General features: G+C 37.8%; 1 protein-coding gene across 3 annotated transcripts in view, besides 1 other annotated feature; it reads right to left on the bottom strand.

The window, feature by feature from the left end:
- The window catches only part of IL1RAPL1 (interleukin 1 receptor accessory protein like 1), a 1369273-nt gene that overhangs the window by 210983 nt on the left and 1144004 nt on the right, over window positions 1-14286 (bottom strand). The gene's annotated exons all lie outside the window — the stretch shown is intronic.
- Window positions 13675-14216: an enhancer, noted in NCBI's record as "NANOG hESC enhancer chrX:29749637-29750178 (GRCh37/hg19 assembly coordinates)". NCBI's record gives its function as "activates a minimal SCP1, AML or CMV promoter by ChIP-STARR-seq in primed H9 embryonic stem cells {active_cell/tissue: H9 hESC(primed)}" and the evidence as "EXISTENCE:reporter gene assay evidence [ECO:0000049][PMID:30033119]".

Here is a 14286-nt window from a genome sequence, read left to right as displayed (position 1 = left end):
TTGGCTCATGCCCGTAATCCTAGTACTTTGGGAGGCCGAGGTGGGTGGATCACCTGCGGTCAGGAGTTTGAGACCAGCCTGGCTAACATGGTGAAACCCCATCTCTACTAAAAATACAAAAATGAGCCGGGCATGTTGGCGGACGCCTATAATCCCAGCTACTTGAGAGGCTGGGACCGAAGAATTGCTTGAACCCAGGAGGTGGAGGTTGCAGTGAGCCAAGACCGCACCATTGCACTCCAGCCTGGGCAAGAAGAGCTAAACTGTATCTCACCAAAAAAAAAAAAAAAAAAAAAAAAAAAAACACAAAAAACTTAAGGAATAAAGAGAAGGGTCATTTTTGACCCTGCAAAGACTGGATAATTCTTGTCTTACCTTCCTGATTTTATTACTGTCAGGTACTCTTGAGACACTTCTAAACATGCTTACTCTCAGATGTCACACACAGAATTCCCTTTATGACAATGATTTTTAGAGAATAAGATGACTTACAGGGAATTGGACTTGGAGGAATTAATGTATTCCCAGCATTTAGCATGTGTGTTATTTAATGATAGCACCCTGTTTATCATGAGGAATTTTCTGCAGCCAAGAATCCATCACCAAATACTTACCCTATGCTGTTAAGATTTTTAAAAGGAAATGGATTCAAGATCATTGTCTATTTAGTCTCCTTCATATGAATGGTAGAGTCACGATGCTCTCGTCTTTAGTTCTATTTAAGAACTAGAATGACATCCCATGGTAATGCTAATGTGATAATTTCTGGCTTTCTTTTCCTACTAGAGATTTCCCTAATAACAGCTATATTTTTATAGTTACTTTGATTTCTGGGCAATAATTTCAAATTTCATGTTAACTTTATTCTGTTGCATTGGTTTGCACCTCAATGACCATTGTATTCCTCATTTTCAGTTTATTTCCATCACAAATTATTTCTTTCAAGAAATACTGTCAGATTTGAAAATTTTAAAAAACGACTCATTTTTAATCACTGAATATGCTGAGGCAAAGCAGCTTTTATTTATTATATAATTGAAATTACTTCTATGATTAAGCTTTGCTGGGATGAAGAAATCTGCATTGGCCAATTCAAACAGCCTGACCAGAAATGGTGAAAAACTAAACAGTTAATCACACATGTAGTTTTTTCTAGCTTCTTAGTTCAACTATGATTTTATAAATGATAATTACCCAGCAAATATAAATATGAATCAAGGAATATTTTCTAAATTTTATAGTTAAAACAAAGATCCTTAAGGTGTTCACTTTCAAAGTGGACCAGAATATAAAAACAATTGTAAATAGGGACAAAGGCTTAGAGGTATGCAGAGAGAGTAATGGCAGATATTTCTATTCTAAGTTGCTATTTTCATATCCATTCACACCTGGCCTTTGTAGTTCTTCTTCCTTCTAGAATGGATGCAAATTATTTAAAAGGTCTTTGGACTTTTTTGCATCATACTTAACAACATTGTCACAAGGGGGAAAAGAAACAATAGCACTCCTACAAAGCATCACCCTGAGTTTCGATAGAAAACGTACAAGAAGTGTTATTGCTTCCTTAAGCTAATACCCATACATTTTTTCTAATTAGTGAAGGTTATGCTCCAGTTCAGTTTATTGCAAACAAACTCGATTGTTGGAAAAATCAATAATGCTGAACAACAACAAAAAGTACTAAGGCAGTGATGGCGCTGCTTGATGAGAGAATGTATGCAACGTCTGTGCTTGCAATGTTGTTCATTCATTCATGTATTTGCAGTAATGAGAAAAGCTCTATTACGTTTCAGAAAAAGAACTTCAGCACTGGCTCCTTCCTCCTCAGTGTACTATTTGTATGTGTGTGCTTGTAGGCAATCTGCTCCAATAATGGAAAATTAATGCTAACCTAATATAACAGCATGAAGGCAAGCTAGGTATTGCAAACAAAGTTAAAAAGAGAAAGACCTTGGCCGGGTGCGGTGGCTCACGCCTGTAATCCTAGCACTTTGGGAGGCCAAGGCAGACAGATCACGAGGTCAGGAGATTGAGACCATTCTGGCCAACATGGTGAAACCCCGTCTGTACTAAAAATACAAAAGTTAGCTGGGCATGGTGGTGTGTGCCTGTAATCCCAGCTACTCGGGAGGCTGAGGAGGAGAATCGCTTGAACTAGAGAACTGGAGGTTGCAGTGAGCTGAGATCGTGCCACTGCACTCCAGCCTGGCAACAGAGCGAGGCTCTGTCTCAAAAAAATAAAAATGAAAAAAGAGAAAGACCTTTTATCTCATCAATTGCTTTTCCTAAAGTAAATTACATTAGAAGGCAGCAGCATTATATTTGCCCGTAGTTTAATATTGATTAAGAAGCTTTTCATTGTAAAGTTAACCGAAGACATAATAATGATTGCAGTACTCTTTTATGACCCCACATGACAAAGCATTGTGTGTATAGATATGATTTATATATAAATTTATTATATATAATATAGAAATTTATGATATATTAATAATTATATGTAAAAATTTTAATTATAAGATTTTCATATATAATTTAAACTAATATACATGTATTTATGTTAATATAAATACATTATATTAATATATAATTTGTAAATAGTATATAAACACATTATATCATATTAGTTTATATTAACTTCAATACTGTCATATTACATATGTATTACTTATATATGCCATATATAAACGTATTTATACAATTATCATGTATAAGTGCCATTTTAACACACTTTCAAGTGAAGGGATAGGATTCAGAGAGGTTAGCTGATTTTCTCAAGGTCACACAACTAAGAAAGGGCAGGGCCGCAACTAGAATCTAAATCCGAGGTTCTCTTAGACTTTTAATCTTCCTCCATGCCACAGCCACTCTTCCTGTCAAATCCGGAAAGACGGGAAAAATGCAGGTTGATTGTATATATTAGTAACCCAGCCTAAAGAGTCATATTTGAGTGTGATAATGGTATTTACTATTATTAATCATCAAAGAGCTAATAGTGTTGGTTTTTATTAAGATGACATCTGGTTGCAATGCTGAACCAACCCGTATGTTTCATTGGTTCAACTCATGATTTTGAGATTTTTTTTCCATTCTGTTTTATTTTATAGAAAGCTATTGTATTGCACAGGTGGTTGGATAGTTAGAGGTTTTTTTGTTTATTTGTTTGTTTTTAGTATCAGTTTTTTTTTTCCCACCATTTACTTTGCATCAGAAAAGAGTCAGCAGAAAACAGTCAGCAGATTGGTTTTAGGGTCATAGCCGTGTTTTTTCTTCAGCTCCCTAAGGAATCTAATTCTGACCTTAGCTCCATTTACATCATGGTTTGGCCATGAATTCTATTAGCTAATATGTTCTTTGTGAGTCTTAAAGTAAATGACCTGAAAAAAAAATGTCAATACTTATTCAAGTATACTCCTGTTTCATTTTCAGTAGTCATTACAAATTCATTTACCTGAGTTTTCATAACAATGCAGGTTTAAGAAACATCAAATAGAACGGTCAGAGGCACTGTCTTATCTTCTTAGCACCCATATGTGTTTTTCCTCTTCCCCAAATAATATTTACATAGCCTCTGTATGAGGGTAGCTTTCCTATCTGTTTCCTAATAATGCACAATAACCAGGACGTGAGTATACAAAGCTGCTTTGTCTATCAGTCTCTTGGGAAAGATAAAATCATTTCAGAATGATAAAAGGGAAGTTTTGTGAGATGGCTGAAATGCATCAATGCTGTGCTGGTTAAGAGATCGTATATGGTCAATGAAAAGACATGGGGCTTTTCTTTTTTTTTTTTTTTTTTTTCTTTTTTTTTTTTGACGGAGTCTCGCTCTATTGCCCAGGCTGGAGTGCAGTGGAGTGATCTCAGCCTACTGCAACCTTCATCTCCCAGGTTCAGGCGATTCTCCTGCCTCAGCCTCCCAAGTAGCTGGGATTACTTACAGGCACATACCACCATGCCCGGCTAATTTTTGTATTTTTAGTAGAGACGAGATTTCGCCACGTTGGCCAGGATGGTCTAGAACTCCTGACCTGAGATGATCCGCCCACCTCGACCTCCCAAAGTGCTGGGATTACAGGTGTGAGCCACCGCACCCAGCCAAAATATGAGGCTTTTCTCATTCAATCTATGACTGCAGACTGTCCCAAGAATGTAAGAAGCTTTCAGAGTCGCTCCTAGTTAAAAATCCCTCATTTGTAAGATTCATATGCCAGACCTTAGGTCTCTGCTTTACTCTCGTAATAGCTGAAGGGAAAATAAATCTGTTGATATAAACCTACCAAGCATTGTTTAAAATGATGGGAATAAGTTCCACAAGTGCCAAAATATGCCACCCTTATCCGTTCCACAGATATGCCACAGCTGTGTGCTCACACAGTATGTCTGCTGGACTCACAATCCTAGTTGGATCTGTCCTTAATTTTCAAATTAAAACTTTAAAAATGATTGTTGACTCAAATAGAACTAAGAAGACTCCTCTATGGCTAGAAATGGAATTTTAATTTTAATTTTGGAAAACTACACAGATTCTAAAAGAATAAAGTAACACAAATTGTTTACAATTGCCAAATGTCATAAATTAAAACTAATATCTAATCTCCACAGTCTTATTTCAAGCAAAACTGATATAATGGCAATGTAACACAGATATAAGACTAATGTTTAGAATATTTATATTTTTCTTCCTTTAGACTATTTTTGTATATTTCTTTTCCTTAAAAGAGCCACAGAAATACTTGGGATTTAGGGTTGTCCTGCCATTACTCATCCAGAATAACAACAGAAATCTAGGTGCTTTCAATTTACAAGTCATAAGTGAGGAACTAGAACAGAAATGAGAACAGCGTGTGGGCAAGAAATGTGGTTCACCTCACATCATGTTGGCAAGTAATGTATATACTGGAGTGATTGTTTTGAAGCTGAAAGAAATAACTTTTGAATGGTGTTATACATCAATTTAATTTAGAAGAAATGGTTGTCGTGAGGGGGTGAGGGTCATATGCAAAATGTTGAGTTAGACAGTTCGACCTTGGAGTAGACTGGAAGGCAGATACAAAGAGATGAGAGCTGGGGGAGAAGACTTGTTAAAGCACTGTAGGGTAGTCTCAGCACAATGTAACAAGTGTGGCAGTGGAAATAGAAAGGCTAGTAGAAGCTAAGAATAATTTATAGGATATAGGACGTGAAAGAAGAGAGAAAGAAAATGCCGTAGGATAACAAAAGTTTAAGCCTGAGTAACTAAGAGAATGATGGGATTGGAGATTGAATTAAGAAATTTCTGAAAGGACTTGAACCCTGAAGGAAAGATAACAAGTTTGGTTTTAGGCAAATTGAATTGGAAGGGGTAGTGGGACATCCACTTGGATATTTTTATTAGGAAGCTAGAGATGACGAACTAAAATTCTGGATGGCTGTCTGGGTCATAGAATCTGATTTAAGAGTAACTTCTATACAAGTGAAATATTAAGTTCTGAGATTATAGCTGATCTTCAAAGGAGAAAGTACTTACTATATCACATTAGACTTTAAATGTATGCAGAAAAATGGGACAGGAACCCTAATTCGACCAATGGTACTGCTGCTGCTGCTGCTGCTTCTTTTTTTTTTTTTTTTTTTCTGTTTTTTTGTTTTTTTGTTGTTTTGAGATGGAGTTTCACTCTTGTTGCCTAGGCTGGAGTGCAATGGTGCAATCTTGGCTCACTGCAACCTGGAGTGTAATGGCGCGATCTCGGCTTGCTGCAACCTCCACCTCCCAGGTTCAAGCGATTCTCCTGCCTCAGCCTCCCTAGTAGCTGGGATTACAGGCGCCTACCACCATGCCCAGCTAATTTTTTGTATTTTTAGTAGAGATAGGGTTTCACTGTGTTGACCAGGCTGCTCTCAAACTCCTGACCTCAGGCAATCCACCTGCCTCAGCCTCCCAAAGTGCTGGGATTACACGTGCGAGCCACCACGCGGTGGACCCATGGTACTTCTAAACTGACTAAAACTCTTTTGCTATACAACTGGTGAAGAGCAAGGTACTCTAAATTTGCAACATGTCACTTCTTAATCCTAGGATTTAAGAATGGTTGGTACTTTATGTATACATGACCACAGAGCTATGAGTAGGTATTTTAAAAGCAAATACTTGTGTTATTTTAACAATTAAATATGCAAACAAATACACTTTATATTTTTATGGCAACTCATGAATAATCATATTAAAAGAAGCAGGACGTGTTATACATATGTTTCCATGGTTACCGCTGGGTGAAAGAGAGAGAGTTATGACCCTGACAGTGAGAATCAATCTCAAGGATTGCCACAGCCAAATGGAAAAAATACCTAATGAAAAAAATACTGAGGAAACAATGTATAAGGAAGTTTTCTTTTCCCCAAAATTATTATTTAAAAAAATTCTGAACATTTTCAGTTATAATAAAATTATGATACATTTTAACATCTTAAATGTATAATCTGTTATTCATTATTTGGGCAGAATGACTAAGAATAACATTACCAACCTAATAATCCATTTAGAAGAGACAGCATAATACAGAAGAACTAAAAAGGAATCTAGAGCCAGACGTGGGACTGAGCCGGGCACTTTATGTGCCTTTCAGCACATCAATTAACCTCTCAGAAATTTCCTTCCCTGGTCTATGAAGTGGGGAAATGTTACCTAATTGGGTTTCTCTGATCTGTGAGGATGGAATGGGATAATGTGCAAGAATTGTCAATGTTCAGGTCGGCTGTTATTAGTCCCATTAGATTGTCTGACCAAAAACTTTGCTCTGTGGTGCAATCCAAAACATTATCCCTAAAGCAAATACTAATATGAACCTCCTGGAAGATACAGTGGAGGGATCTTTAGTGCATTCCTAGCAGGAAAAATAATTTGTTTTTATCCCAGCACATAGAATGAAACAACTCTCCAAGAGAGCCCTGTTCAAATTCCCCGGATTCTGCGCATTGGGAACCAGACCTAGAGGAAAGTGTTAACGGTAACAAAATGACAAGGCCAGGTGGTGGCTCACACTTGTAATCTCAGCACCTCGGGAGGCCGAAGCAGGCAGATCACTTAAGCCCAGGAGTTCGAGACCAGCCTGGGCAACACAGTGAAACCCCATTTCTACAAAAAATACAAAAAATTAGCTGGTGGCACTCGCCTGTAGCCCAGCTACTCAGTAGGCTGAGGTGGGAAGATTGCTTGTGCCCAGGAAATCGAGGCTGCAGTGAGCCGAGATCACACCATACACTCCAGCCTGACAGAGTGAGACCCTGAATCAAAAAAAAAAAAAAAAAAGAAAAGAAAAGAAAAAATGAAATGAAATGAAATAAAATGACAAGTAGTCAGAAGATTGGCTTCTAGGGCCATTTTGTACCACAGAGTGGGATCTTTTAGAATTACCTCAGGCTTTCCTGATGGCTTTAATCAAGCATTGTGGGACTTCTCTATGTTCTGCTGAGCTCCACAGAAGCCACTGCTATGGGTAGGTCACTATCCTGGGTTAGCGAATGTATTTAATGTAGATAAAAATCTTGTCTAGGAAGGTGAGCTTGGGGTGGAAAAAAGGAATAAGGTTTTCTCTCCTCTGTGATCTGGAATTGATTCGCAAAGTAGCCTGGAAGAAAGAGAAACTTTAAACAAACGATGAGGGCATCAGAGGGCTTGCCTAGAAGTAGGCTAAAAAAGAACAGAAAATGGATAATATTCACTTTGAAATTTAAATCTCTTAACTTCTGTGATCTTAAAGATAACATTCTGAAGGATGCTTCTGTATCATGTTGGAACAGAAGTTATGAACATCTTCTAAGCCATAAAATAATCAGGCTTCATAGAATGAAGTATTCTGTAGCTGAAATTTTCTAGCCATTTGCTATAAAATGCATATTATTACATTTCTTAAATCGATAAAAGAATAGCTGAATTTAAGATGACTCTGTCCAGAGAGTCACTGATTATTAGATTAACTCACTGTGTGCTAGCTATAGCCAAGTTGCTAATTAAATGCACTTCTTATAAAAATTGATTATTTGATATTTTAATGTTGAAATATGTTTCTGAGATACTTCCCGGCTCTTGGTTAAAGACAAAATACTCATTTTTTAATGACTTTTTCAGCAGTTCTTTTACTAAGCATTAAAAACAAAGTAGAAGTGTAAAATTTTGAAGATCTCACTGAGACCCTTATGGTTTATTTTCTTTTCTTTATCTAATATGTCATGGACCCTATTATAGGATAAAAGTACTACACAAAGATTAGTGCAAGACTTAGCTTCCTGGCAATGTCAGATTTGGACAAATTTGCAACTTAGTGTAGCAAGTCCTATGACCTACACTAGAGTTCCCTGATACACCCTTCTCTCAGTGAGCTTTTAAGTGTTTTTCCATGCCAAACCTTTCCTTTGGAATTTGTTGCCTCCCTCCAAAAGCTCTATCCTCTAGAGCAATGGTCTACAAACCATCTTGATTGTGTACCCTTATCCATAAAAGAAATTTGAATACCTACCCTCAAAATATGTGTATACACCCTCAGAATATAAAGTACAAGCATGGACTATTGTACTAATCTATTACAAACATCTTAAAATATGCACTAAATAAAAATTTAAACAGAGCGGAAGATGAAACAAGTATTAATATAACATGATTTTTATTTTTACTGTATGCATTTAAAATACAAAAATATTTTTGTGCTCAAAATTGAATGTGTCCGATTTGATCACACTGGGCATTTTTCTGTGACTGAAGAGATTACACTGGTGGTTGGGGGAATACTGTTTCTTCCTTTTGCTTCATGCTTACCCGGGCCCATCTTAGTTTTATCTTCTTATGCAGTTTCTTATAGAATCTTTAAGATACGTGCATATTTTTTAAGCACTTGTCCATTTTGTAAGGGTCAATTTAGTTAAAACTAGATAATATAATAATCAGTCTACTTAGCAATTTCATGAGTATTGCAATTAGCCACATTAAGGTGACTGCATATGAACCAAAGATACCCCAGTCACAAACAAGTTCTTTTTTTCTTGAGACGGAGTCTCTGTTGCCCAGGCTGGAGTGCACTGGCACGATCTCGGCTCACTGTAACCTCTGCCTCCCGGGTTCAAGCCATTCTCCTCCCTCAGCCTCCCAAGTAGCTGGGACTACAGGCATGCACCACAACGCCCGGCTAATTTTTGTATTCTTAGTAGACATGGGGTTTCACCATGTTGGCCAGGCTGGTCTGAAACTCCTGACCTCAGGTGATCTGCCCGCTTCGGCCTCCCAGAGTTCCGGGATTACAGGTGTGAGCCACTGCGCCCAGCCCAAATTCTTTAATACACATGTGTGATATGTGAATGGCTGAAGTACAAAGCCAATGAGTGTGGCAGTGTCAAACTGTATTTTTTTGAGACAGGGTTCTTGCTATGTTGCCCAGGCTGGTCTTGAAATCCTGGGCTCAAGACATCCTCCTGCCTCAGCTTCCTGAGTAGCTGGCATTACAGACATGTGACAACAAGCCTGGCTTGTATTTTAAATATTGGTAAAGTTGAAGTTCTTATTTTAAATAGAGATATGGGTATAAAAATGCTTACAGTTTGTTTCACACCCCAATGGGTTATCTTGCATAACCTTTAGGATGCACAATCTTCATATTAGAATCTGCTTCTTTGTGGACAACTTCAGTGTTCTCATAGGTTTTCTTTCTCTTTGTGGTCTAGCTGATCATAATGGTTTCATTGGTTTTGCAGCACAGTTGCCACATACATACCAATTTAACCTGGCTAACGGCCAGAACCAAGTCTATTCTGTCTTCCATGTCTTTGTAACTTAGTTCTACTCTGTTTTTATTCACAACACAGCTGGCCTAATGGCCATCTGTTTGTTGTCTCTGTTTCCAGTAACTGATTTTCCATTGGGGGAAATATGTAAATGATGATGATTCCAACACTTACTAGCCAAAAATATGTGAAGAAAATAAAGACATATTGGTGGAATATCTATAAATAAGATCTCCAATTTGGTTCTTAGGCTAGGAAAAAAAAAATCTCAAACATACTGTGCCCCATCAACCCTTTCTCTGCAAAGCTTGGGATGACAGAAGCATCTTAGCCTCTTGAAATGCTGCTACCTACTCTCACACCGGACAGAATGAGTCTGGAACTTATTCCAATTGAAAAAACTTCAACTGAAAAAAATGCATGAGTACAAAGAAGAGATGTGGCCCCTAGCTTGGGGTCAGCTTGTTTGAGTAGAAGCTGAGGCTTCCAGAAAGATGTTATGGTAGGTAGAATAATGGTCCCCCAAAGATATCCACATCCCCAGAATCTGAATATGTTAAATTAGATGGCAAGGGGTAATTAAGATAGCAGATGGAATTGAGATTGCTATCAGCTGACCCTAAAATAAAGAGATTATCCTGAATTATCTAGGTGGGCTCAATATAGTTGTAGAGGTCCATGTAAGAAAAACAGACAGGAGAGTCAGTGTCAGAGAGATGCAGCATGAGAAACACACAAGTAGACATTGCCAGCTTTGAAGATGGAGGAAGAGACCATGAGCCAAGGAATGTAGGCAGCCTCTAGAAGCTGGAAAAGGCAAAGAAACCAATTCTCCCCTGGAGCCTCCAGAAAGGGATGCAGCCCTGCCAATACCTTGATTTTAGCTTAGGGAGTTCGATTCCAGACTTTTGACCTTCAGAATTATAAAATAATAAATTGGAATATTTTAAGTTGTGAAGTTTGTGGTAAGTTACTATAATGGCAATAGAAAACAAATACAGATGCCTTAGAAAAAATATTCACTACAAATGATTCAACTATGAGGAATACAGAGCAAGAAGAGAAAATAAGGATGAAACTCAGTGGCAGATCCTTGTGCAAAGTTCAAGACAGGTGCTTTCCCCTGGGAATTGGGGGGTGGGGTTCATATCTCTCATACAACCTTAGGTTTCCCCTTCACAAATTGTAATCTCTATTCAGCTCTCCAGATTTTGATGGTGCTGAAAGCAAGGGAAGGGGGAAAAAAAGGAGAGGGGTAGCTTCCCCTGATCTTGCTGAAACTATTATTTTGAGAACACGGAACAGTAAGTTGAAGGGAGATGTTTCCAAATGGTTAAGTCACTGATGAGATAGCTTATCAACGAAATTCTGCATCTTTGGAAAGAATGGCAGTTATTTACTAGATGTAGAAGTGAATTTCCAGACATTATCTCTTGCAGATGTCAACTCATTTTCTTCTTCTTTCCTGAAACACTGCAAAGCAGCCTGCTGGCAAGTTGGGGAGCTGGAGTGTGGATTGCTCTGTACCGCGTCCTGTCCTGGTGTCTGGTCATGATTAGTGACTACGGTGACATTATAATTTAACCAGAGAGAGCTCTAACCCACAAGTGCCTGTGTTTATGTGTGTGAATGCATGTGTATGTAACACATATCTGTGTTGAAGGTTAAATCATGTTTGTTTGTCCCTTTATTTAAATGATGATTTGTTCCTGTCTGAAGAAATTATTAAATGCTTCTTTTCTTGCAACTTGAAAAACACTGTATGATAATCTATTTTCCTACTCACAATACTGTCTTCTTTTTTCCTGTGCCTATTACTTCTCCAAATAACAGAGAGAAAATCGGAATCAATAATAATTTCTTCAGATGATTATATTTTTAGTTTAATGCTTCAAATGACATTTTAGGTAATTGCCCTAGCAATGACCTGGAAGACCTAAGTGAGCAAATCTTCCAGTGGTCGCATCTGTTTCAACTTGCGCAGAAAGAAACTTTGAGCATACCTGTGCTCACTGGGATACTTTTAATTAAGTTCATATTGTAGAATTTCATCATCTATTAAAGAGAATGAATATAATTAACTGTTATACTGATGTAACTGATTTGCCATTGAACTCAAATAAATCCCTGTTATGTATCAATGTTGATGATTCTGCTTAGAGAAATAATCCAGGATAGAAATAATACAGTGACTTCTTAATTCTTATTTGGTATATGGTATTATTTAAAAGATGATACTAACTTTGAGAAAGGATTGTCAGACTTTAATACTCACAAGTAGATTTGCTAAAAAAGAGCATATGCCATGAAGGTATAATTGTGTTTTGTGATGCCCCAATGGGATCTTATCCTATTTCATGGAGAGATTTTTAATTATATTTAATATGATCTGATTTGTATTAAATAAAGCTGCAGGTTATTTGCTGAAAGTCAGTTGGAGACATGTACAATGAGAAATATGACTGTGACTAGTCACACATAAAGTTCTGAAGGTCACAAGTCTGATTCAGAGAATGAGGCTAAATCTTGAACAGAACTCCAATTAAGTAAATCAACTTGTGTGATTGGTTTAAACCCCTGGAGCTACTTTTCAGCTACTGTTCACTCAATAAACATATATTGAGCAGTTACTTGAACTAGGAACTGAGCCAGAAGCTGGGAATACTAAAAAAAGGAAGAAGTCGTCCTTGTTTTAAAGAATTTGCAGTCAGATAGGAGGGAAAAAAGTCCAAGAAGACAAAGAATTGACATGCAGAGATGTAAGTGCTATAACAGCCATAACAGAGGCTTCTTCCAAGTACTGGGGGAGCTCAGAGGGAAAGTGATTAATTTTTTCAGGTGACAGACTCATGAAGAAAGTAGGCTTTGAATTTGGATTTTCTTCTCTTCCTTTCCCTTCTCATTGCTCCCTTCCCTTTCCCTCCCCTCTCATCCTCTTCCTCTGCCTCCCTCCCTTTCTCTTCCTTCCTTCCTTGGCCACCTTGCTCCAGAAAGAGGTTCCATAAAATATAAGATATCACATTTTAAAGTAAAGGGGAGAAAAAGAACAGTTCAGCTTGTAAAAATATAGCCAGAAATGTATTTGGGAAAATTCATACTCTTGATTACAAATGTGCGACAAATTTGCCTCTGAGAGTTCTGGCAACCATTGCAAAAGGGAAAAGCTGGTAGATGTCACTACTAAGCGTTGATAAGATAAATACGAACCAATCCTAAGAGAGAAGTAAAACTGCCCTGGGCCTGAGACCAGCAACAGAGACATTCTCCAAAAAGTATTCATAAAGAAGATGCATCAGAAAAATATGATAACATCACTGACAAAATCCTTGCAGAAGGAGAAACAAGTCAAGTGGAATGTATAGGACAAGTAATGAGTTACCAGGTAAGAGCAAGGATGTTCATTATGTGGAAGGAAAGAGCACATGCTGTGTGTTGAAAGTCTACACCATTTTTTAGCTAATTTCGTAGTTAGGGCATAGAAAGGATAGATCAAAGGGAGGTGCCATGAGTTGATGATTGCGAGGAAAATGGAGATCACATTATGAAGGGTATGGAGCCACTAATGGATCGTGACTTTTATATCACTCACAAATTTTGAGATAAGGACTGAAAATGAGTAAAGATATGATCAGATGAATTACTTTGTCCCATTTTGCCTAGTTCTAGCTATCGTAACAGTTAGAAGTGCGGGGGTGGGGTACAGTGCCAAGTGAAGGAAAAGTAATGAGAATTAACAAAATCCTCTTACACGTTATTTCCAAAGAAGACTAATGTCTCACTGTCTTTCCATTATATACCATCACTCCATTAGTGGGATTTGTTATTTAAGCCTATTTAGGCCATTCCTTGTGCCTTATCCTTCTAAGTTTTCCAGTCATTTTGAGGATAGTAAATATCTGATGTTTTGAAGCATATGCTACTCAAATTTAGAAAAATAAAGAAAACAAAATTCCCTGGCCTCAGAAGTCAATACTATATATATCTTCTTTTTGTGGTTCATTAGCTGAAGGAAAGTAAAGGAGCCTCTACTGACCAGGAACACAAGATCGCTTTGCTGTGCAAAAGGAATTTATGTCCTGCTTCCAGTGTTTCCAGGTTCTGCTTTAAGATCTCTTAGGTAAGTTCTTTTCTATACTTGCTCAGGCTCCTTCCTCAGCCCTTGCTGTCTTAATGGGTGGCATCTGCAGGACAATCAAGCTCTGATATTCAGCTTAATGTTTTTCAAGCATGCTTAGTAAGTGAGGAAGACAGAACTCCCCTCCAGCTCCCAGCTGGGGGTTGAAATCCTAGTTTTTCTGTCAGAGCACGTGACCAGCTCCTTGTCCCCAGACCCTAGTTACCAAAACCAAAATACCAGCTCTCACCTCTTTTCCTGAGAAAGGTAAGTTTATTAGATTGAAAATAAAGGTCAAAGGCAGGGGTATCAACCCTTTTACTTTGCACTATTTTTGCTTCCTGGAGGATCCCTCATTAAGACTGCCAGATAGACACCTAGATCAGAGTCACAGTCTCTCAGACCCTGAGCAGGTGAGGAGGGGG

The sequence above is a fragment of the Homo sapiens genome, chromosome X (assembly GCF_000001405.40).
Source record: "Homo sapiens chromosome X, GRCh38.p14 Primary Assembly".
Lineage (NCBI taxonomy): Eukaryota > Metazoa > Chordata > Mammalia > Primates > Hominidae > Homo > Homo sapiens.
This window is presented reverse-complemented; position numbering and strand designations above follow the sequence as displayed.